Source organism: Homo sapiens, chromosome 8, assembly GCF_000001405.40.
Source record: "Homo sapiens chromosome 8, GRCh38.p14 Primary Assembly".
Classification (NCBI taxonomy): domain Eukaryota; kingdom Metazoa; phylum Chordata; class Mammalia; order Primates; family Hominidae; genus Homo; species Homo sapiens.
This window is the reverse complement of record NC_000008.11, coordinates 28,369,213-28,393,471: the sequence shown is the minus strand read 5'-3', so window position 1 is coordinate 28,393,471 and position 24,259 is coordinate 28,369,213. Positions and strand designations below refer to the sequence as shown.

Below are 24,259 nucleotides of genomic sequence, written 5' to 3'. Positions count from 1 at the left end.
GAGGGATACCCTTAGCCTTTGAACACCTATTTGCAACCTATCCATCCTTTCTCTTCAATGGAATGCAAAGCCCACTTCGTCCAGAAAAGCCTTACAGATTGAGTAGATTAGAGAGAAGATGCTATTGGCCCCAGGGCACACTTGCCCCACCACTTTCTCTTAAAATTCCTGACTCTTGTGCTTCTTAGAGTGAAAATACTTCCAGTGGGTGCTGGGCCTGTTTTTGTCCACTAAGATACATTGTAATTTCTTCAATCAAAAGAAAAGCACAAAGTATGCCACAGATGCAACATTAATAGTATTATTCTTTTCATTTGAAACTCACAGCATGGTTTGAGATTGTGGTATGAAAGCTTTGTTTAGAACTGTGGCTCACGAGCCAGGTGTTGTGGCTCAGACGGTAATCTCAGCACTTTGTGGGGGCCGAGGCGGGTGGATCACTTGAGGCCAGGAGTTCGAGACCAGCCTGGCCAACATGGCGAAAACCCGTCTCTACTAAAAATACAAAAATTAGCCAGGCACGGCTAGGCGCAGTGGCTCACGCCTGTAATCCCAGCACTTTGGGAGGCCAAGGCGGGAGGATCATTAGGTCAGGAGATCGAGACCACGGTGAAACCCCGTCTCTACTAAAAAATACAAAAAAATTAGCCGGGCGACGTAGCAGGCGCCTGTAGTCCCAGCTACTCGGGAGGCTGAGGCAGGAGAATGGCGTGAACCCGGGAGGCGGAGCTTGCAGTGAGCCGAGACCGCACCACTGCACTCCAGCCTGGGCGACAGAGCGAGACTCCGTCTCAAAAAAAAAAAAAAAGAAAATCAGCCAGGCACTTGGGTTGCATGCCTGTAATCCCAGCTACTTGGGAGGCTGAGGAAGGAGAATCACTTGAATTGGGGAGGTAGAGGCTGCAGTGAGCTAAGATCATGTCACTGCACTCCAGCCTGCAGTGAGACTCTGCAGTTTAGACAGAGCAAGGCTGTCTCAAAAAAGAACTGTGGATCACAGAGGTAATGTGGTCCCTAGTCTAAGTGAATGAGAAGCATAGCGGCGAAGAATTTAGTATCTGGCATCCTGATGGGCAACTTTTTGGAAGTCTAACCAGACCCTTGATTCATGATTATTTATTGAGTGTCTGCTATATGCCAGACACTATTCTAGAAGCTGCGGATATAGCAGTAAGTAAAAGCAAAGTCTCTACTGTCATTGAATTTGTAGTTGAGTGGATGAGACGGACTATCAGGCAGTCATGAGTGCAAATAAGAGAAAAAAGGCCAGGCAAAGGGGCAGTTCAGTGGTGGTATTATAGTTATGTATCTTACAATGAGTGCATTGGAGCAGGACCTGAATCAAATGATGGAACAAGTTCCATGGGTATCTGGAAGAAGATCATTCCAGCTCAAGGAACAGCCTTGGAAAGGCTGAGTTAGGAGTGGGGTTGAGGAAGAGTAAGGGGGCCAGTGTGGCTGGAACTTCAGGAGCCAGGGAAGAGCGGTGGGGTGGTAGGACTCGAGAGCTGATTGGGACAAAGATCATGTAGGGTCTTGCAGTGAGTGACATGGGAAGCTGTTGGAGTTTTGAGCAGAAGAGTGATATGATCTGACTTAGGTTTTTTTTTTTTTGAGACAGAGTCTCACTCTGTCACCCAGGCTGGAGTGCAGTGCACGATCTTGGCTCACTGAAACTTCTGCCTCCCGGTTTCAAGCAATTCTCCTGCCTCAGCCTCCTGAGTAGCTGGGATTACAGGCGTGCACCACCATGCCCGGCTAATTTTTGTATTTTTAGTAGAGATGGGGTTTCACCTTGTTGGCCAGGCTGGTCTCGAACTCCTGGCCTCAAGTGATTCACCCGCCTCGGCCTCCCAAAATGTTGGGATTACAGGTGTGAGCCACTGCGCCCAGCCTGACTTATGTTTCAAAAGAATCTTTGTGGCTTCTGGGATGTTGAATAGACTTTTAGAAAGGCAATAGAGAAAGCACGGAGACCAGGGGGAGCCCATTGTGGAAGGCCAGGCTAGAGAGATGGTGGCTGGACCAGGGAAGTTGTGCTGGAAATGCTGGAACATTAATTAATTCTGGATGTATTTCACTAGAACCAATGGGATTTTCTGATGGATTAGATATGGAGTATAAGAAAATAAAAAAATAATAATAAAAAAGGAGTTAAGGATGATTCCAAGTTTTTGTTTGTTTGTTTCCTGAGCAACTAGAAGAAGGGAACTGCAATTTACTGAAATGGGAAGGAGCAGATTTTAAAGGGAAATCAGAAGTCTGGTTTTGGACACGGTACATTTGAGATCTGATTAGACATCCAAGTGGAGATGCTAAGTAGGTAACTGGTTTTAAGAGTCTGCAGCTCAGGAAACCAAGTAAGGTATAAATCAAGCCTCTGGTGGAGCCTGAAGCCTCAGTTCATTCTGTTGGCCTCATCTGCTCTAAATATATGGGCAAGAGGTCTTCAGTATCCCAGGAATCTACTGAGCATCTGAGGCATGCTTTGAAGCAGGGATCACCTGCACCATGGAATAACTCTAATCTGTCCCCCATATGCAACCGGCTATTCATTTATTAACAAATGTTTATTAAGTACCTACTACAGGCCAGGTGTGGTGGCTCATGACTGTAATCCCAACACTTTGGGAGGCCGAGGTGGGAGGAACACTTGAGCCCAGGAGTTCAAGACCTGGGCAACATAGTGATACTGTCTCTACAAAAATTTTTGTAAAACATTAGCTGGGTGTGCTGGCATGTGCCTGTAGTCCCAGCTACCCAGAGGCTGAGGCAGGAGGATTGGTTGAGCCCATAATTTGGAGGCTGCAGTGAGCTATGATGGTGACAGAGTGAAGCCCTATTTCACACTCAAAGAAAAGTGCCTACTACATGCCAGCCACTGTACTAGGTATTGGGTATACAATGGAAAACAGGACATACTCCCTGTACTCACAAAATATTTAGTCTTTTGAGGCATTGGGACAAGAAAATGGAGATTTCAGTGCAATGAGTCACAGTGCTTTGGACACATGGGAGGGGCACCTAGTTCCAGTCTTGGAGGCCCATGAAAGCATTTCAGAGAAAATGCTATCTAGGTTGACCCCTGAAGGATGAGCAGAGATAGCCAAGTAAAGAGGTCAAAGGGTAGGGTAGAGAGTGTTCTAGGCAGAGAAAACGGCATGTAACAAGCAGAGAAAGTCTGTTCAGGCAAAGAACAGAAGATCAGTTGGGCATCTGGAGTGCCATGTGAGGGGTAGAGGCAGAGGGGCAGGTAGAGGCTGGAGATGTCACTGGAAGGCACACCATGAAGGACCTTAATGTGCAATGTTGGGACTTTATTATCAAAGCCATTAAAAGCTTTTGAGGAGTTTTAAGCAGAGGCAAGAGGTTGAGGAAATAGAGTGGATTGTGGGGAGGCAAGCCTGGAAGCAGTTGCATCCGGGAGTTGGGAGGGTGGCAATCTCAGACTCTTACTGCTCTAAAATAGCACCTATAAATGAGTCCATAGCATATGAAGCAGGGAAGGGAGGTGGGACCTGCGTCTGCTGTGCTTAATCTCAGCTAGTGGGAGACACTCTCCAAAGAGCTAATTACTTAATGGAAATGAGGCAGAAGATAACTACATTTTTTTTTTTAAGGGACAGGGTCAGCTGGACGCAGTGGCTCATGCCTGTAATCCCAGCACTTTGGGAGGCTGAGGTGGGTGGATCACCTGAAGTCAGGAGTTCAAGACCAGCCTGGCCAACATGAAACCCTGTCTCCACTAAAAATACAAAAATAAACCAGGGATGGTGTTACCCAGGCTGGAGTGCAGTGGTTTCAGTCATAGCCCACTGCAGCCTCCAACTTCTGGGCTCAAGTGATCCTTCCACCTCAGCCTCCAGGTAGCTGGGACTAGAGGCATGTGCCACCATGCCTAGCTAATTTGTAAATTTTTTTTGTAAAGACAGGGTTTCCCTGTGTTTCCCAGGCTGGTCTTGGAACTCCTGGCCTCAAGTGATCCTACTGCCTCAACTTCCCACAGTGCTGGGATTATGGGCATGAGCCAATATACCCAGCCTGCCTACATTTTAACAGGGTGTGGGAGAAAGCAGGGTGAAGGGCAGTTCTGAGATGGGACAGTCCCCCAGGAAGGGCAAGCCTTAGTCATTTATAGGGGAAGGGGGAAGAAGAGGGAATGAGACTGGAAACCAAAAAGTGATTGTCTTTGTAAGTACGTCTTGCTTTGTGTAATGTGAGTGTTGTGCACTGTGTATTCAGGTCAGGGCCTGGATTCTGTGTGAAGGTGCTGAGCGCTGTGTGTGTTGGGAATGGATGTTTGTATTGGGATGATTTCTCTACATCTGTGTTAATGTGCAAAACTCTGGAATGCATACTGTGCAAGTACCTACCTGCAGTAAAGAGATATGCATCCAATTTATGCAGAGAGAGAGCATATGTCCTTTGAAGGCCTGTGTTTGCAAGACACAGTCTCAAACATAACAAGTTCTCAAACAGAACAATTCTGTTGAAATGTAGAGACTATTTTGGCTCACTTTGCACGTAAGACGCACTCATGTATTTGTCAAACGAATGAGTGTTTTGGTTTTATTAAAGTGCAATCATTTAAAGAAATATATAGGTGTGGTTAAAAGCTTAAACTAGATGTTTTAGGAAGAATAAATTGGCTGGGCACAGTGGCTCAGGTCTATAATCCCAGCACTTTGGGAGGCTGAGGCCAGAGGATTGCTTGAACCCAGGAGTTAGAAACCAGCCTGGGCAACATAGTGAGACCCTGTCTCTCAAAAAATAAAAAAGTTAGCTGGGCATGGTGGTGCACGCTCATAGTCCCACCTACTTAGGAGGCTGAGGTGGGAGGATCGTTTAAGCCCAGGACATTAAGGCTGTAGTGACCTGTAATCCGCCACTGCACTCCAGCCTCAGTGACAGAGTGAGGCCCTGTCTCAAAAACAAACAAACAAAAACGAAAGAATAAATTCACAACCAGACACCAACATCCATTGATGAATCCTAGCAGTTTAAATCCTGTTATGGAGTTTACATACTAGTCCTACCTCATGTAAGAAACATTCACTATTTCATTTCACTCAATAAACATTTCCTGAACACCTTAGTCTCAAAGGCAAGCCCTTGGCTTTTGCTGCCGGACTCATTTCCCTTTTCTCTGAACCACTTTACTCTGGGTGTTGCAATTAGAGCATAATTATATGTTATCTTGTATTGTTCCCTAATTGTTGCATGTGCATTAATCCACTTCCTCAGAGGCTGTATAGTCCTTGGGGGCAGGGACTATATTACAAACCTCAGGATAGGTGAGGAATTTAGCAGAGAGGTAAATATATAGAAGTAAGTAAACACCCACTGTTTGAAGAAAAATGGAAACAAGAACATAAAACTATTCATGAACTGTAGTAACATGTAACATACAAAAATACCTTAAAAATAAGAGAGGATACATTGTTAACTAACAAAACTATTCATTTTTTTTGGAGAGAAGAGGTCTTGCTGTTGCCCAGGCTGGTCTCGAACTCCTGGCCTCCAGTGAACCTCCCACATCGGCCTCCCAAAGTGATAGGATTACAGGCATGAGCCACCTTGCATGGCCTAAATATTCCTTGAATAATTAAATATAAAATTTCAGTCTGCATTTTCATATTAATGTAATTGAGGTGATCCCCACAACGTTTTGTTCCTCTTCTTAGTGCAAACCAGAAATGTTTCCTTAAGGGTGAGAGTTAAAGGGTAGAACCAGTCTTTGCTGAATTACTGGGTAGCAGGATTATTCTATAGCGGGACTTCTCAATGGCAATACCAGCATTTTTTTGGACTATACAATTCTTTGTTGTGGGGGGCTGTCCTGTGCACAGTAGGATGTTTAGCAGCCTCCTTGGCCTTTACTCATCAGATGTCAGTAGCACCCCTCTCCCAATTGTGACAATCAAAAACGTCTCCAGACATTGCTGTCTCATCACCCCCAGCTGAGAACCAGTGTCCTATAGAAATTTTGGTTCTAGTTAGATAATGTTCTTATTTCACAAATGGTGGGAGATGGAGGAAGGGAAATAATACTTATTTGCTATGAGCTAGACACACTTATCTATGTTATTCCATCTTGGGGCAGATGAAGAAGCTGGGGTACAGAGAGTGGAAGAACCTGCTGGAGATCATAAAGTGAATGTAGCTCAGTCAGGACTGCAAGCCGGTTTGTCTGACTACAAAGACTTTAGCCCTTTTCCCGGACACTCCCACTGACTCTTTGCCAGAAAAACAGCACACCTTAAATCCAAGGTGAACTGCAAATTCAAACATTATGTCCAACACAGATTTTAAAACCTTTTTTGGGGGAAAGGAATTACTACCTTTGGAGTCATTAAATTCGCTTGAATAGAAATATTGATGCCCACACATATATAGACACGGGGCCCCCTCACTACCGTTGTGGCGCTGGTCTTATCTCTGAAAAACACAGAACAACACAATGGAACAACTTCAATTCTCCTTGTTACAAATTATCCAAAAGCCAGAGCCTAACGGTGCCAAAAGCAACCGGTCTTGTTTACGTAAGGATTGAAGGCTAACAGTTAACTTTCTCCCATTTAATTCCAGCAACAGTAAATAACGCCTCACTTTACACCGACAGAGGAGTGAGATGTCATGAAATGGGGAAGAAAACATTGAGTCCAAAGGAAAATGGGAAGGCGCTTTCCAGCCTCCTCCCACTAGCGCGGGCATGGGCGCTTGGGGCGGCTGGGGCTGCGCCGCCTGGGTCCCCCAGGCCCCAGCCGAGCTCCCGTCCGCGGCGCCCCAGCTGTCTGGCTCCCTTCCCGCCCTGGGTCGAGCCCGGCCCCTCTCGGAGGAGCCTGTCCCAGAGGCAGGCCTGGAAAAACAACAGCGAGAGAAACTTTGGCTCGGTGCGAAAAGCCAAGCCTCAAGTTTGGCTCCGGGCTGCAGCTGCCGGTTCCGATCGAGGGGCGGGGCGGGGTGTGTGTGTGTGTGTGTGGAGGGGGGGGTCACCACTCGGTCAGGTTCAAGTGCGCATGTGCGCGAGGAGTCGCTCGGGCACTTATTGAGCGCCGACTGTCTACGGGCGGCCGGGGGTGTGTAGCCCAGGCGCGCTGGGGGCGTGCTGGGCGGGTGCGGGGGCGCGGAGGCGCGGGGGGCGGGCGGGGGTGTGTCCCGAGTGTCGCCGCTGGGCGCCGGCTGGCAGGGGCTGGCGTGCTGCTCCGCTCCCTTCCCGGGCGGGAATCCGGGCCGGGTTGTGGCCGCGGCCGCGTACGTGAGCGCAGTGTCCCGGGGAGGAGGGCAGGCCGGCCAGGTGGGCGCCAACCGAGCCTCGGCGGGCGGCCGGAGCGGAGCCGGGCCGCGGGCCGCGCCGGGAGGGCGGGCAGGGCCGCGGCCGCTGCAGCCCGGAGCTGAGCTAGCCGTCCGAGCCGAGCCGTCCGAGCCGGGGAAGCCGGGCGCGTGCTGCCGCTCGTGGCGGGCCGAGGTGAGCTGCGCGGGGACCTAGCGGCGCGGCAGCCGGGGACGGGGGCGGCCGCGAACTTCCCACGCCCCGCGCGCCCGCGGCTGTCGGGCCGGCGGCCTGGGGGGTCCGGGGGTCTGGGAGGCCGGGGCCGCGGCGGGCGGGGCGCGGGACGCTGCGGCAGGGCCGGGGTGGCGGGCGGGGTGGCTGCCGCTCCCGCGCGTCGCCTTGTTTACCTCGCCCTCCGCCGGCGCCCCCACTCTCGGAGCCCCCTCCCGACTTCGGGCAGTCGGGACTCGCCCCTCGCAGGGACAGGGACCGGCCCGCCTGCCCCTCCCCGGCCCTTTCCGGCGGGGCCGCCCGCCCGGCCCTCCCGCGCCCGGCCCTCCCGCGCCCCGCGCGTTTCTGCCGGTTCCTGCCCACTCCGGCCGGCGCGCGAGGCCAGGCTGCGGGACGGGCGGGACAGAGGGACACACCCTCCGCCCGCGGGCGACCCGCGTCCCTCCCGCCCTGGCGGCCACCGCCCCCTCTGCCCGCACGCTCTCGCCCGGTCCCGCCTCCGCCCGCGCCCCTGGCCCTCCCCGGCGGTGGCACCGTGGGCTCACGCGGGTGCCCGGGGGGGGGGCGGGGCTGCACAGGGAGTTTGTCTTGTGCAAACAATTTCCAAGGCAGCGTTTTCTTCCCTGCCTGGGAGTGCAGGGCTCAGCGCCTTCACTTTGGAACTGACTCAGAGACCTAAAGAAGCCCACCTGGCCAGCGGGAAGGGGGGCCGCCGCCGCCTCCCGGTTTTGGGCAGCCCTGGCCAGCTCCCTGTGGCCTTGGAGGACTTCCACCGGGCAGGCGTTCCCATGATGCCAGGCTACCAGGCGCGGGGGATTCCTGCAGGCCGGCGCTGCTTTTCTTAGAACCCCCTTTCTAGAAAAGTACACCTGGGGGTTTTGCTTCAAAGTGAGTGATCCACAGGTATCTAAGGCCTTCTTGACACCCTCCCTAGGCGTTGTGTAAACAGAAGCACCTGGTCGCAAACACCTCGAAACACAGGGAAACATGGCCATTAAGTTCAACTCCACAGGTCCTGTCAGGGAGCTGCTGTGCTCTCAGCACGGTGCCAGGCCCTCTGGGAGGTGGGAGAGGCACCGAAGAGACCCCAGGCTTCAGGAAGCCTAGGACTAGGTGGAAGTGATTTAGGAGTTTACGTTCAAGTTAATGTGCAGTGGCTGCCTGAGTTAGTGGAGATGCTGGAGAGGGAGTATATCAGATAAAGGAAAAACGAGATTGGGGAAGGGACTTGGAGTACTAAGTTTTGAAGTAAATTATGCCTGTGGAGAGTAACTCACCCGTAGGGCCCAAAGACAAGAGGAGAAGAAAGTAACAGGTGGGATAATTTACAAAGTGGAGCAGAGGAGCAGAGGCTCATACCTGTCTCGGGGAGAGAGGAGACAGAAGGTGTAAGAGATGATTCCCTCCCTCCAGGGCTTCTGCCCTCATAGAGGGGACAGAAGGATGTCAGCATGTGAAATCAGACGCCAAGAGAGGGAATGGTAACTGTCAAAGTGCGAGGTGCAGAAATAGTTCTGTTGGAGTCAGAGAAGGGAGTTGTGGGCAGGGATCAGTCACCAGGACTGGAGGCTGACGCTGTTGAGATAGGCTGTGAGGTGGGAATGAACATGGCTTTCCAGAGAGACAAGGAGATGTCCTTAGCCATACCAGGGAATGTATCCTGAACAGTAGGAGATAGAGGTGGAGAGGAACAATGGTTGAGATTGTGAAAGTCTTAGCCCTTTTGGTGATTGCATGCCACCCTGTGTGTCCTAAGGAGACATTCAGGGTTTTTGAGTGAGGGAATGGTGTAATGAACAACTGTAATGGAAGGGTTTTGGAAAGTTGTGTTAGGGGGACACATCAGTGAGCAGGCTGTTGGAGTTGCAGGGTGGCCAGAGTTTGCACTGGGATCACTGGAAGTGAAAAAGGTGGGTTTGAGAAACATTACTGTTGAAATAATCTGTTTACAGGGCAGGGTGAAGGGATGAGATGAATGGAAATTAATTCTTGGTGGAAATTGATTCAACGCCAGGGCCTTGGAGCTGCTGTAGTTGGTAACTTGAGAAATCGGAAATGTGTATTTTGGAGAGAAGGAATTGGCTACTCAGGCTATAGAGAAGTTTCTTGTGGCTGCTAAGATATCCAGATGTTAGTGTCCTGCAAGCAGCTATGGCTCTGAGATGGGGGAGCCCAGGGGGGACAGTGTTGCAGAGGCTACAGATGCCGGGAGAGGGAAGGGGCTCAGAGAAGTGGGGAGGCTGCTGGTAATAGGGGGGCAGCGGAGGATGCCTTTGAGTGGTACTCAAGGCCTGAACCGAGGGGCTTCTGTTTCCCTCTGCTGCACTGCCATTCACATGACATTGCTCGGTTCTGAACCTGAAGTTGGAAAAGCAACTGTGGGCAATTGGGCCCTGAGGAGTATGGGCTGTTGATTCTTCTAATCTCGAGGGTGGATTGGAGGTTAGAACGGTGTAGAATGGGATTTGCTAAAGACAGTAAATTGCTGGGCTTTGAAACATTTTGAACTTTTCTGGGGTGGAGGGTTGGAGGGTAGGAGAGAGAGAGTGAGGCAGGAAGACATTAGCCCTAGGGATATTGTGATTCCCAGGGCTGTTCCAACCAGAGCCTGGCACCCTGCAAGTAGAGGGGAGCTGGTGCTTTTTTTCTTGAGCTCTGTTCATGTTGCAAGGGTGACACAGGGTGATTTGCTGAACAAATTCCCCAAGCCTCAACTTGCAACATCTGAATTTGAATGATGATTGCAAAAAGTTGTGGAATGAGCTGAGAATGTAATTACTGTTACTTAGCCTCCTTGTTTCTCTGAAATGCAAGATCAGTGAACTAGTAGAAGAGGACTTGGGAATCAGATATTTTTCTTTATAGAGTGTGTCTGATTGTCCAAAGAATAATTGCATGAAGCAGTGGTCAAGCTAATTTACTCATTGTAAAGCAGTGTCTGTACTGTTTTGACTGTGACTTACATTAAGAAATGAAATTTACATCGTGACCTAGTACATACAATCATGTATATAAAAATCTAATCTAAGTTCATAAAGTACCTACCTCCCTTTGCTTGGTGTCATCTCTGACATTTCTATTTTCTAGTCTATTATTTTTCATTTAAAAACCTCTTGTCTCCCACTAAGTTGATCTAATCGTTCTCTAATGGATCATAACCCACAGTTTGAAAAATAGAGAGTTTTCGCATTCAGTGAGTATTTATTAAGCTGTTTGAAGAGCTACTGTAGTACTGAAGGTGGAAGAAAGCATGAGGAAGGGTGGAAGACTTACAGTCTCTTTGGAAAGATGAGAGACACCTTGATTAAGGAGCAAGCCAAGATGATTAAATGCCAACATAAAGAATAACTACCTGTGGGGTTCAGAGGAGTGGGGCGTGTTCTGTGCTGGTGGGGCTTGGAAAAACGTTTAGGGACAAGGAAGGAAGTCTGGGATGAACTGTTTTTGGTGTCTCAGGGTGCTGCAGATGTGGGGAGGTATAGAGTGGGCAAAGCCTTGGAGTTAGGAAAGTGTAAAGTCTATGATTGTGTGAGAGAGAAGAACAGAGGGTTCTTGTTAGAGATTAGGGAGAAATCAAGTTGTTAAAGTGGGCTGGGGTCACATATAGGGCAAAGGTTGTAAACCGGTGGCCAGGGAGTGTTTTAAGCATATGGATGTGTTCTAGTTTGGACTACATAAAGGTGTTTAAAAATTGGGGGAAAAAATACAGAAAAATCTCTGGATTTGCAGCTCTTTTAAAGAGTCAGATCTGGTGTTCATCTCAAGCTGAGAAGGCTGTCCCCTATGGACAGGAGACAGGCTTGTGGTCCCCGGGCTTCCTTTTGCCTCAGTCCAGTCACTTTCCATTCTTCACTTAGTCCTGTAGGCGTTTTGCTTTGCGACCTGAGTTTTCAAGAGACTCGAATGCTGGGCCAGGAAATTCGGGATTGCTGTCATGGGCTCTGGGTGGCCACTGAGGATTCCGGGTAGGAGTGTGGCATTATGGAATCTGAGATATTTCTGTGCACCGGATTTGTTTTAGGCAAGTCAATAGCACTTTTTGAGGAGCTGCTGGCTGGGACTTTGAAATATTTTTATGATGATGGGAATGGAATTATAGAGGGCTTTGACCTGTGTTCTCCGTAGTAAGGCAAGTTTCAAGTGACCCCAAGATTTCTCCAGCCTTTCCATTTTCCGCTTCTGGCTGGCAGGGATCTCTGAGAGTGATGTCGAGGTCATACCTTGGTGAGGTGTGAGTCACAGCCATCAGGTGCCATATGACGTACAATTCTCAGGAGCCTGGTATTGATCCAAATGGCTCCCAGCAGACGAGGCTGATTTGGGGTCCAGCTGAAGTGACTAAGTTCAGGACTCTGTGACCTAGAATAGTCTGATTTACCACCCAAGACTAAGAGCTCGTCCCAGATGAGCCACTGGTGAGAGAGACTGACAAATAGTACCCTGATGTTTACAGGTGGGACTAAAATCAGTTATTTAAAAATACTGATCCGGCTGTAGTGGCTCACACCTGTAATCCCAGCACTTTGGGAGCCTGAGGCAAGAGGATTGCTTGGACCCTGGAGTTTGAGACCAGCCTGGGCAACATGGTTGAGACCCTGTCTCTACAAAAGATAAAAAATCTAGCTGGGGCTGGGCGCGGTGGCTCACGCCTGTTATCCCAGCACTTTGGGAGGCTGAGGCGGGCGGATCACGAGGTCAGGAGATCGAGACCATCCTGGCTAACGCAGTGAAACCCCGTCTCTACTAAAAATACAAAAAATTAGCCGGGCGTGGTGGTGGGCGCCTGTAGTCCAAGCTGCTCGGGAGGCTGAGGCAAGAGAATGGCATGAACCCCGGAGGCAGAGCTTGCAGTGAGCCGAGATTGTGCCACTGCACTCCAGCCTGGGCGACAGAGCGAGACTCCGTCAAAACACACACACACACACACACACACACACACACACACACACACACTAGCAGGGTGTGGTGGTGCATGCCTGTACTCCCAGCTACTCAGGAGGCTGAGGCGGGAGGCTTGCTTGAGCCCTGCAGAAGGTGGAGGCTGCAGTGAGCTGAGATCACGTCATTGCACTCCAGCCTGGGCAACAGTGAGACCCTGTCTCAAAGAAAAAGTATACTGCTTTTGAAACATTAACAAAATGAAACTGAAGTGCATTTTAACAATGTGTGGCTATCGGATGCAAGGATAACCAGAAGCCAGCTGAATCGTATCAAATTAAATCTATTTCCTGTCTTATATGGTGGTTTGTTTACTAGGCCAGAGAATAGTGCAGCAACTATGGTACATTTTGGCTTCAGTAAAGTATTTAACAGTTTTTTGAGGTATGATGGTCCTTATTAAATCATAAGTGGTAAGACGTGGGCTGGATGGTGTTATTAATTTAACAATCCTATGTGAAACTGTTAATTATTGGCACTGAGGCAGCCTGGAAGGAGATCTGAAAATGAGTACAGTAGGGTTCTATTCTTGGCCTTGATCTGTTCAACATTTTCCCAGTGTTGGCGGTGAAGACAGAGAAGGCGCGCTCATCAGATTTGTTAGTGGCGCAGAAGTGAGAGGAATTGCTGGTTTTGCAGACAAATCAAGGTTCAGTCGTCTAGAATTAGGAGTGCAAATTAAAAAGAAAACAGAAAAAAATTCAGTAAGGGATGAATTTAAAGTCTGATTTAGGTTTAAAAATTTGAATTGTAGCGTTTTGAGATTTTCAGTATCCTGATAAGATAATACCACTTCTGGGGATGTAGCTGAGACCATATCCACAATGTAGATGATGATTTATGCACAGAGATTATTCAGAGATTTTTTTTTTTAAACTCTAGTAAAAACTTGGGAATAACCTAAATATCCAATGGTGTGGGCTAGAGGTAATAAATAAGTGAATTCTGATATCTTTAAAATAGAATGTTATGAAGTCATGAAAAATAATGTTTAGGAATAGCTTTAAAATAACAGGGAAAAATGTTTTTGCCAAAAGTTAAGGGACATCTACAGTGTGACTTCAAATGTTAAAAAAGCAATGTGTTTAGAAAATAATTGGAAGGAAATACACCAAAATAGTATATCAAAATACAAATACCAGTTGCTTCTGGTTGGGTTGAGGCATGCAGCTTTTTTTTTTTTTTTTAACGTTTGTATTATTTGTCTTTTCTAGTTGTGTATGTATTCCACAGTGGGGACATCTGCAATTTTTAAAACTTTTTATGGTTCAAGGACAAGAAAGGGTAAAGTAGATGATTCATTCAGTGATTAATCTTGAGTGCCTGCTCGCTGTGTCAACCTCAAGGTCAGAAACTAGAGTCACAGTGGAAGACAGAGTCTTTGACCCCAGGTTGGCACAGGTCCACTGAGGAGGGGCAGGGCATGGAGAAAAAAAGCGTTGGGATTTTTCTGTTGTTCATCAGTTCAGTGTGAGCCTTCAGTGGATGAGGCTTTTATTTTTATTTGTTTCTATTTTTATTTTTTTCAGAGAGTCATGAGTCTTGCCATGTTGTCCTGGCTGGATTCGAACTCCTGGGCTGAAGCGATCCTTCTGCCTCAGCCTCCCAAGTGGCTGGGTCTACGCACATGGGCCACTGAGCTTAGCTCTAAGATATGGCTTTTAAAAAATTGAATGCAGTTTATAACAGGATCAGAAATTCAGTGATCTAATCATAAGATCTAGTCTTAATGACCTTGGCTGGTCAGGTGACATTTGGACCCTGGAGAGCCAAGAGTTAATAGGGATATGAGCAAGAAGACTTGATCCTGGAAAGGAGAGTAGGATGCTGTAGGATAGGGAATAACTAAACTGTATTCATGCATTGGGTACACAGTAGCACCTTCAAATATTTTCCTGGTTATCAGACATAGGAAGGAGGAGACGTTCATTTTTACTCCTGGTGTTCGAATACAACCAATAGATGAAACAGTCACTTTATTCTCTGTAGCTGCAGATTCCTAATTTATGGCATGATTACATGATTCCTTGTCTGTAGAATGATCAGCGATCATGCTGAAGTTGATAGACTTTGAGGTCCCCTTTGACCCGAAAGACTGGGACAGCAGATTTCAGTTCAATATGAAAAAGGATTTTCTAGCTGGCAGATCTGTCCAACAGAAGAAATGTCTGCCCAGGAAGTAGTGAGCTTACGGCTGTTGGCGGTATTCAAGTAGGGCTGAATGCTGTTGATTAGGGATGCGGTAGAAGAGAAGGACAGGAATTAGGCCGACCTCCAAAGTCTCTTCCAATTTAGAGGGTCAGTTATTTAATATATGACTTGTCAAAGCCGAAAGACACATAGAATAGGGGCTTTACCTTCAGTGGCAAGTATTTGAGTCAATATCATCAAGTGTGTTCTTTAAAAATGTTTATAAATAGGTCCCAGCATTTTTGAGAGACCCTTCTGGGATCATTTTAGAAAGGATGAACAAAACAAAACAAAAAACAGGTGAGGTGCATTGACTCACGCCTGTAATCTCAGCACTTTGAGAGACTGAGGTGGGTGGATTGCTTGAGCCCAGGAATTCAAGACTGGCTTGGGCAACAGAGAGAGAACTTGTCTATGCAAAAAATAGAAAAATTAACCAAGCATGATGGTACACCTGCCCATGGTCCCAGCTCTTAGGAGGCTGATGTCGGAGGCTCACTTGGGCCTAGAGTTTGAGGCTGCAGTGAGCCAGGAGCAGTGAGCCGTGATTGTGGCACACTGCACTCCAGCCTGGGTGACAGAGTGAGACCTCGACTCAAAAAAAGGAAACCAAGGATGAGAACTATTTTAAGTTGGGTCAGAACTCAGTTTGTGAACCCAGGGCTGCTGAAAATTAAATTTGGTCCTTAGGAAAAGCAAGAAGGTTGGTGGTGGTGGGGGGCCGGGAAATGGCCAGTAATAATGAACAACACAGATTGACATGTAGACAAGTAGTAGGATCATGCTGGGTGTGGTGTCACACATCTGTAATCCCAGCACTTTGGGAGGCCGAGGCGGGTGGATTGCTGGAGGCCAGGAGTTTGAGACCAGCCTGGCCAACATGGTGAAACCCCGTCTCTACTAAAAATACAAAAATTAGCTGGGCGTAGTGTTGCTTGCCTGTAACACCAGCTACTCGGGAGGCTGAGGCAGGAGAATCACTTGAACCCAGGAGACAAAGGTTGCAGTGAGCCGAGATCATGCTACTGCACTCCAGCCTGGGCGACAGAGTGAGACTCCATCTCTCAAAAAAAAAAAAAAAAAAAAAAAAAGTGGGATCATCATGCCACTTCTATTCGGGATGATGACTAAATCAAGAGGGGGCTGTTAGTGGGTGCTGGGTCCTCTGCTTGGCCGTGGAGAATGTGGAGTGACCTTGAATGTCTCCTCCCACTTCCTGTCCCGCACTGTGGATTTATATCCCCAGGAGCACCTTGCTCAACAGCATCCTGACACCAGTGATGAGATGGAGCCATCTGATTGCTCTTCAGTTTAGCGATAAAGAGAATACAGGGCAGATCAATTTAAAGACATTTTAAAGTGGGATTTTCCAGGAAAACATATGTTTAGTTTATATCAGACAATAAATTTGTAATTTGAATTAAAAAAAATTTTTTTGAGACAGGATCTTACTCTGTTGCCAGGCTGGAATGCAGTGGCGCAATCATGGTTTACTGCAGCCTCGACCCACTGGGCTCGAGGCATCCTCCCACCTTAGCTTCCTAAAGTGCTGGGATTATAGGCATGAGCCACTGCTTCTGGCTTAAATTTTTTTTAAATTTTTGCATATGTATTACTTATAGCTTACATATGAAATTTTTTTTAGTTTAATTCTGCTTAACTTTCACTGAAATATATGCTTTATTTAGAATCCGCCCTGATTATTTAAAACTTTTAGATTCCTCTTCCTGATATTTTTGGATTACTTTTGTTGTTGTTTTTGTTGTTGTGCAGGTCACTGCTTGGACTAAATCACTTAGCAAAAGTTTCTTAGCTCTGCAAAGAGAATAGAGGTTTATCTCATCTTTGGAGAATATTGTAAGATGATTTTTGTCTCCACATGATATATGCTTGCATTTTGGCATTTGAGAAATCAGTATTTGGCAAGAAAGTGCTCTTTTTATATGGGATGAAGCAATTTTGGGGTGCGCTGACTTAACAAATGGCAGTTTTAGATGTATGTGAAAAGCATAGGCAGGACCTAGTTATTTAGAACTAGAGTTGAAAATTTTTGTACATTTGATGACAGGCCTTAGTCTCCTTTGTCTCTGTATCATTTATGCCTCACATGGTGTCTGTCACATCAACTGTGCTTGTTGAATTGCTGTGATTTGGTTCCCTGGGCTACATATAGTGGGTTTGGGGGAAAGTTGGGCTAACATGCCTTTTTTTTTTGTTTTGAGACAGAGTCTTGCTCTGTTGCCCAGGCTGGAGTACAGTGGTGCGATCTCAGCTTACTGCAACCTCTGCCTCATGGGTTCAAGCATTTCTCCCTGCCTCAGCCTCCGGAGTAGCTGGGATTATAGGCTCCCGCCACCATGCCCAGCTAATTTTTGAATTTTTTTTAGTGGAGATGGGGTTTCACCATGATGGCCAGGCTGGTCTTGAACTGACCTCAGGTGATCCTCCCACCTCAGCCTCCCAAAGTGCTGGGATTAACAGGCGTGAGCCCGGCCTTTTTTTAAAAAAAGCAAAATATGATAAGAAGTAATAGTTCCCAGCTGGGCATGGTGGCTCACGCCTGTAATCCAAGCACTTTGAGACTACCTGTGGTCCCAGCTGCTTTGAGAGGCTGAGGTGGGAGGATTGATTGAGCCCAGCAGTTCGAGACCAGCCCGGGCAACATGGTGAAACCCCATCTCTATAAAAAATACAAAAATGAGCTGGGCGTGGTGGCATGCACCTGCAGTTGCAGCTACTTGGGAGGCTGAGGAAGGAGGATCACCTGAACCCGGGGAGGTTAAGGCTGCAGTGAGCTGTGCTGGTGCCACTTCACTCCAGCCTGGGCAACAAAAAGAAAATAAAAAGAAAAACAAAACACAAAAAACCAGTTGTCAGCCTTTTTGTCCTTTGAGTATCAGGAAGCCATATACAACTCTCTTAGTAAAAACACCCGCATTCAGTCAGTGGCTGCTTGTCAAAGTGCCGGAGGAATTGAAAACTCCCTCTCCTCTTTCTATTTTTCTTCTGCTGAAAATGAATTGCTCTTGGTGTGCTGTTCTTAAATTCATGTGTCCTGTGTCCATTTTAATCTTGTTATCTATTTTTATGGTGACTGTCGCCATGGTACTCATGCTCCTTGCATAGCACAACAGAGATTTCCAACGTCTGATAGGACAGCTCAGAGTTCTGCTGCAGCCGGGAGAGAAACTGTGTGTGAGGAGTTCTTTTTTAAATTGAGGTGTAATTTACATACAGCACAGATCTTAAGTGTGCTGTTTAATCAGTTTCGACACATACGTATGGAGACAGAACATTTCCATCACCCCAGATGAGTTCCTCGTGACCACTTCCAGATAAGCCCCACCCCCAACCAGAAGTACCACAAATCTGATTTCTATTGCCATAAGTTAGTTTTGCTCAGTAGGTTCTAAATATTATAATTTTGTCTCTCTCTCTCTTTTTTTTTTTTTTTTAGACAGTCTTGCACTGTTTCCTAGGCTGGAGTGCAGTGGCACAATCACAGCTCACTGCAGCCTTGACTTCCCCAGGCTCAAGCCATTCTCCTACCTCAGCCTCCCAAGCAGTTGGGACCACAGGTAGGTGCCACCACACCCGGCTAATTTTTAAATTTTTTTTAGAGACAGGGTCTCACTGTGTTGCTCAGTCTGATCTCAAACTCCTGGCCTTAAGTGATTCTCCCACCTTGGCCTCCCAAAGTGCTGGGATTACAGGCATGAGCTACCTGTGCACAGCCAATTTTGTATTTCTAAGGACTCTATAGGTAGTGCTTTGAGGAGGAGGCAGGGGGTGCGTGTCTGTTTAAAAAGCAGTAACCTATGTGGTTAGGAGTCCCCAGTGAGTGAATAATAATGTTTTAGAGTTTGTGCAATGGGATGTTCAGATTCTTTTTTCTCATTAGCTCAGGGGATTTGGATTTATATTAGGAATCCTGATTCCCATCTGAAAGAGTCAAAACCACAGACAGCTAGGCCTGGTATGGAGGAAGTGTGATTGGGCAAGGGCTGGCTTATTAGGGAACGTGTGTGTTGTGTTGGAGTGCTGCAGTGCTGGGTTGGAAGAACTGGAATTACTCCTAGGACATCCCTTTGGATGATCAGAAGTCCCATTGACATACTTTCTCTTTTTTCCCTGCCTTTTCCTTGAACTAGCATATAAATTTAACAATCCACAGAGTTGCGGAGTTGGGCTTGTAATATTGAAACAAGATCTGTGCTGCAAAGCCCACTGCTGACTGGAAACGCAGATGTGCACTGCTGAGCTCACAGCCCCTGGGAAGCATGGCCCAGATTCAGGGTGAAATTGCCCCCAAACATATTATTGAAATGCATTGAACAGGGACTGTTTCTTTTCTTTTTAAAAAAAAAATTTAAATGAAAATTTCATTGCGCAAGTTAGTACACGAACACATTCTCTGGAGGGGAAAAATGCAAAACTTCTGCAGCAATCAGAAAGTTTTCCTTGATGACTGTTCCTAATCCCAGTCCCTTCCCCAGAGGTCCAGCACTTTCATGGACTTGCTGTTCTTCAGATGCCTCACATACTCACATCTATACCTATAGGACTTACAAAAAGTTAAGTGCATTGGCTGTGGATTACGTAAGGTCTCTTTACTGAATTGCCTCTCCCTCCCTCAACAGGGTGCTTGGTGATAGTTCCCGGCTCCTATGCAAAGGTCTCCTTGATTTTGTTTAACCTCTGCCCGGTCTCCCTTTGAATTAGAAGGCTACACAAGTACTTCACCTTTCCCTAATTCATGGGCACTTCAGTCATTTCCAGATCCTTTACTGTTAAAAACGCTGATACCAAAAAACATTGCTGCACAGACCTCTATAGCACCTGTGAGTTTTCTCTGGGGTAGGTACTGAGAAAGTGGAACTGCTGGGCCGTAGGGTTCTTGAGTTGTACATTGTAACAAAGATGCATTATGGGGTCAGTTCCTCACTTAGAGTTACTGTGGGACGGGGGATGCCTGCCCTGTGCTCAGACATTAAGCAGTTATTTGAAGACAAGGGGGCAGGATTTAGAGTGTGCTAGGTGGATGCTCACCGGCCTCACAGGTCGCACATACCATTGCTGGTTTGTGGGAAGGGTTGGTATTGGGAAGGGCTCTTCTGGGCCTCCTAGTTAATTCTACCTGGTTCCCGCCCCCCAACCCCTGAGGACTTTGACCCGTATGTTGATAGTGGTTGTGTGGAAAAGAATCACAGGCCGAACGGGCAGCCCGTTGTGGACTCTGGATGGGAAATTCTAAACTCAGTTCACTTGGCCTGGAGACCGTCACCGCACCTGCGGTTCTTCTCCAGGCTGCCTTTGTAATCCAGTGTGGCTTAAACACTCAAGCAAAGCGTGAGGCGTTTGGAAGCATGATGTTCTTTAAAGGCATCTAGAATGCGGCCACGTGGCTGTTATTAGCAGTTTATGTTAATTACAGAAGAATGGCATGTGCCACTGTTTACGATTCTGGCCTTCATCTCTATCTCTCTATAGAACTTGTGGAAAACATGAGAATTAATCCTATCAGATCAAACCCATGCATTTAGGAGCCAGTGTGGCAAGGGAGGGAGTGGCTGTGCCCTTCCCGAAGACAGCTTTGTGGCCGGTTGTGGGCCGGTGTCCCTGGCCACCTGGGTGGGGAGAGGCAGAGGCCCCTTTGCAGCCTTCACGATTTTACGTGCATTCAACCTCAAATCTCCATGCAGTCTGTAATGAAGCAGTGCTAGTTGGAGCCTAGGGCAACCCCACTCGTGCATTCATTCACTGTCCAAATGCAGTGTGCACTTCATTTGCCTTCACTGGGGTATTCCAGCATCCCCTCTTTGGTCTCCAGCTGATGTTAGTGGGGCCTCCCTTTTCTGTCATTTCAATATTTGGTGACCAAGTTGGCATTCTACTCCTCTCTCCAACTTGGCGGATTCTCTTGGGGCCCTCCTGGCCTTGATCCTTTGTCCTGAAGAGCGCTGCCTTCTTAGCTTGCCCTCCCTGTCACACAGCACATTTAGGTTAATGGTCCTCTGGCCTCATAAGTCATCTTTTTTTATCCCCGCCGGCCCTGAGACAGGGTCTCACTCTGTTGTTCAGGCTGGAATGCATGGGACAATTACAACTCACTGCAGCCTCAACCTCCCAGGCTCAAGTGATCCTCCCACCTCAGCCTCCTGAGTAGCTGGGACTGCAGGCACATGCTACCACGCCTGGCTGATGTTTGTATTTTTTGTAGAGATGGGGTCTGCCTGTGTTGCCCAGGCTGGTCTTGAACTCCTGAGCTCAAGCCATCCTCTGCCTCGGCCTCCCGAAGTGCTGGGATGTGACTGTTTCCATAGAGCTCTTGCATGGTTTTCATTTTTTTCTTACCATCTATTACACTGCCCTTGTTGATGTTAAAATTTACTGTATTTCCCCCGCATTTGCACAAACTCTTTCTGATAATTTTCCGATAGGTTTGGCTCTTCACTGCCCGGGATTTGGTGTCTACTTTTTTTCAGGTCAGCATTTATCGCGCACTTTTGCTAGGCACAGTGCTCAGTATCCAACATGCATTTTCTCACTGTTTCCTCTCTCAGACCTGGGGGATCAGAATCTCTAGGAAGGGGAGCTTGGGAACTCTTAACAAAATCAAGGCACTTCTGGAAAAAAAAATTCATTGCCTCATTAAAGCCCCAAATTATCCTCTGGGATAGGATCAATACTTTTTCTCATTTTGCACGTGAGGAAACTGAGGCACAGAGTGGTGAGGTCATTTGGCCAAAGTCACAATGGGGAAGTTTGAGCTTTTTTTTAAAACTATTTTTTTTTTTGAGATAGGGTCTCACTCTGTCACCCAGGCTAGAGTGCAGTGGCATGATTTTGACTCACTGCAACCTCCTAGGTACAAGCAATTCTCATACCTCAGCCTCCCCAGTAGCTGGGATTGCAGGTGCCCACCATCATGTCCAGGTAACTTTTGTATTTTTAGTAGAGATGAGGTTTTGCTATGTTGGTCAGGCTGGTCTTGAACTCCTCACCTTAAGTGATCCACCTGCCTTGGCCTCCCAAAGTGCTGGGATTACAGGCGTGAGTCACTGCGCCCAGCCGGAAGTCTGAGCTTAAGGCAGCCCTGACTGTTTGTGCATTCTCTTTGGGATATTTGTAAAGGGTGAAATAAGAAGAATTGTCGCCCTGCTCCTGGGGGATCCCATGCTTGATTCTTTGCTGTCATAATGCACATTTCCCGTTCCATGCCACAACCACTAATACCACATTAGCCTCTTGGTGACTCAAGTTTTTAAAAACAAGGAAGCTTATGTGGTCATCTAGTTTGGTCTGTCACTTGATGCATACATTTCCTGGCTGTACAACATAGTAGAAAGAGCATAGCTTGTCTGGGTCTGGTGGCTCACACCTGTAATCCTAGCACTTTAGAAGGCCGAGGCAGGAGGATCGATTGAGCCCAGGAATTCGAGAAAAGCCTTGGCAACATGGTGAAATCCTGTCTCTACAAAAAATACAAAAATGAGTCAGATGTGGTGGCACGCACCTGTAGTCGCAGCTATTTGGGAGGTTGAGGTGGCAGGATAGCTTGAACCTGGGAGGTCAAGGCCGCAGTGAGCTGTGATCGTGCGACTGCACTCCAGCCTGGGTGGCAGAGGGAGACCCTGTCTCAAAACAAACAAACATAGCTTTTGAAATCAGACACATTTGGGCTCACATTCTGAGTTCTGTCATTTTCTAGCTTCGTGGCCTTGGGAAAATTACTCACCCTGAGATTCAGTTTGCTCATCTGTAAAATGGGAATGATGATGGTATTTATAATCTCATGGGTTATTTGTGGGGGATTAAATGAGACACAGTCTGCGAAATGCTCAGCAAGTTGACTGGCACTTAAGTCTTTGATAAATGATAGCTGTTAGAACATTCCTGAATGCACATCAGTCTTTGAAAGGCCACGGATTACATATAAGGGTTCCTGTTATTCTCTTGTCACTTAGATGTGATTTTATTTCTTGGGAACATCCTACTGCCTTTTCTTCAAAAGATTCTCCTCTTCTGCTGGCCTTGAACTAAGTCCAGTCTACCTGCTGGCCTGAGGTGGCGGGGGTGTGTGTGTCAGCCCCCTCAGTTGTGTTCCTGGGGCAGGCAGAACTCACCAGCACCCGGTGCTGATTTTATCCCTTCCTTCTCTGAAAACTCGGAGAGTATGTGCCAGCTGCTGTCTGCGATTGATGCACATTTATTTTGTCACTTGGGCTCAGAACGTCCTCACCAGTGAGCAGCTTCTGATTAATGCCGCCACCCCATCCATTTCAAGAAAAGCTTCAGAGAGTGGCACCCCAACATCCTAAGCTGGGACTGGGGTGAACTCTCATTCAGCCTGTTTCTCCATCTCTCTTTCGTCTCGAAACTCATTCTCATGCCCACAGTTATTGGGGCATAAAGATTCCTTAAATGGCTTCCTCCAGAGAAAAATACGTTTAAGGCACTTCCTTAGTGGTTTGAGCCCTGGGCGAGCCCCTCCTCCACTCCGTTTATTTTCCACTATGTATTTAAATCTTCCCCGATGGTGCCTGTCTTCTCGTCACTAAGGCTGACTTTCTGTTTTTGGGGTGAAACCTGTGTCTCCTTCAACCTCCAGTCACTCAGTGGATTTTTTTTTTTTAGATTCATAACATATTTTATTTTGACTTATCTAACTGATGTCAAAAATGGAAAATGTTCACATGGATATTCATCTAACTCATGGGCTCCATTCTAAAAACCCCCTTTTTAAAAATCAGGCTTCAGTGTCAGATTGCTGAATGTTTTTTTCATTTTCCTGAGAGATGCAAATGTTCATTCATTCATCTCATTATACAACACAGTACATAAATGTAGCTTCAGAGCGTATTAAGTGCTTTTATACACAAGTGCTGGCTGTGTGGACCAGGTGGTAGCTCATTTAGGCCCCAAATTCATTAAGGGCAGGGTCTGACTCTTAGGCTTCTTAATATTTGGTTTGGTGCATGGTCAAGAGCTGGACCCACATGTTGCATAGCAGCAGGGCTGATATGTTTAAAGACGCTGGGCTTTTTCTGCTCTGGGGCCCTTTCCCGGGGGTTCCGGTGAGTCCCTCCCCAGGTGGGTCTGCCCCCACCCGTGTGGGCGGGATTAGCTCCCAGAGGCTGGCCAGGCCCCACCTGGGGGAGGCTTGAGGGCAGGGCCCCAAGGCTGAGATTCAGGCTTGGGGGAACAGAGCAGGAAAGAGACCCGGTACCGAAAGTGAGCGGGGCAGGCACCTAGTCACATGGGTAATGGGCAGGGGTCGGTCACTGGCTTTGGCTCCAGGGCCAGAGCAGTCTGACTTAGTGTTGAGCTCCAAGCATGGAACACTGGAGTTGGTTCATTTTGACCAGCAAGCCTCTAAATGGGTGCCTTGATTACCCACCGCAAGGAGAGGGCAGTTGCCTTTTTATGACATGTTAATTCCAGCCAGGTGAGTCACCAGGTAGCTCTCATCCTCCTGCCAGGCTCCCCTGCCTGTCGGTTTGGCATTGTCAGATAATGTGATCATTCATTGAAGTGACATTTGAGTTCCAAACCAGTTTTCTCCTTTAACCATTTCACCCTCAGGAGTGATTCTCCTTTGTTTGGCATTGTCAGGGAATGTGATGA

General features: G+C 47.5%; 1 protein-coding gene across 1 annotated transcript in view, besides 4 other annotated features; it reads left to right on the top strand.

Annotated features, from left to right (window-relative positions):
• Nucleotides 6,682-6,781: a silencer, noted in NCBI's record as "silent region_19056". NCBI's record gives its function as "represses an Ori minimal core promoter by ATAC-STARR-seq in GM12878 lymphoblastoid cells {active_cell/tissue: GM12878}" and the evidence as "EXISTENCE:reporter gene assay evidence [ECO:0000049][PMID:35858748]".
• Nucleotides 7,012-24,259, top strand: part of ZNF395 (zinc finger protein 395) — a 40,871-nt gene continuing 23,623 nt past the window's right edge. The window contains exon 1 of the mRNA NM_018660.3: nt 7,012-7,079. The gene's annotated coding sequence lies outside the window, so the exon portion shown is untranslated. The remainder of the gene's footprint in view (nt 7,080-24,259) is intronic.
• Nucleotides 7,102-7,411: a silencer, noted in NCBI's record as "silent region_19055". NCBI's record gives its function as "represses an Ori minimal core promoter by ATAC-STARR-seq in GM12878 lymphoblastoid cells {active_cell/tissue: GM12878}" and the evidence as "EXISTENCE:reporter gene assay evidence [ECO:0000049][PMID:35858748]".
• Nucleotides 7,952-8,021: a silencer, noted in NCBI's record as "silent region_19054". NCBI's record gives its function as "represses an Ori minimal core promoter by ATAC-STARR-seq in GM12878 lymphoblastoid cells {active_cell/tissue: GM12878}" and the evidence as "EXISTENCE:reporter gene assay evidence [ECO:0000049][PMID:35858748]".
• Nucleotides 9,238-9,412: a silencer, noted in NCBI's record as "fragment chr8:28241577-28241751 (GRCh37/hg19 assembly coordinates)". NCBI's record gives its function as "represses an EF-1alpha promoter that drives an FKBP-Casp9 reporter gene in an ReSE screen in phorbol 12-myristate 13-acetate-treated (for megakaryocytic differentiation) K562 erythroleukemia cells {active_cell/tissue: K562(+PMA)}" and the evidence as "EXISTENCE:reporter gene assay evidence [ECO:0000049][PMID:32094911]".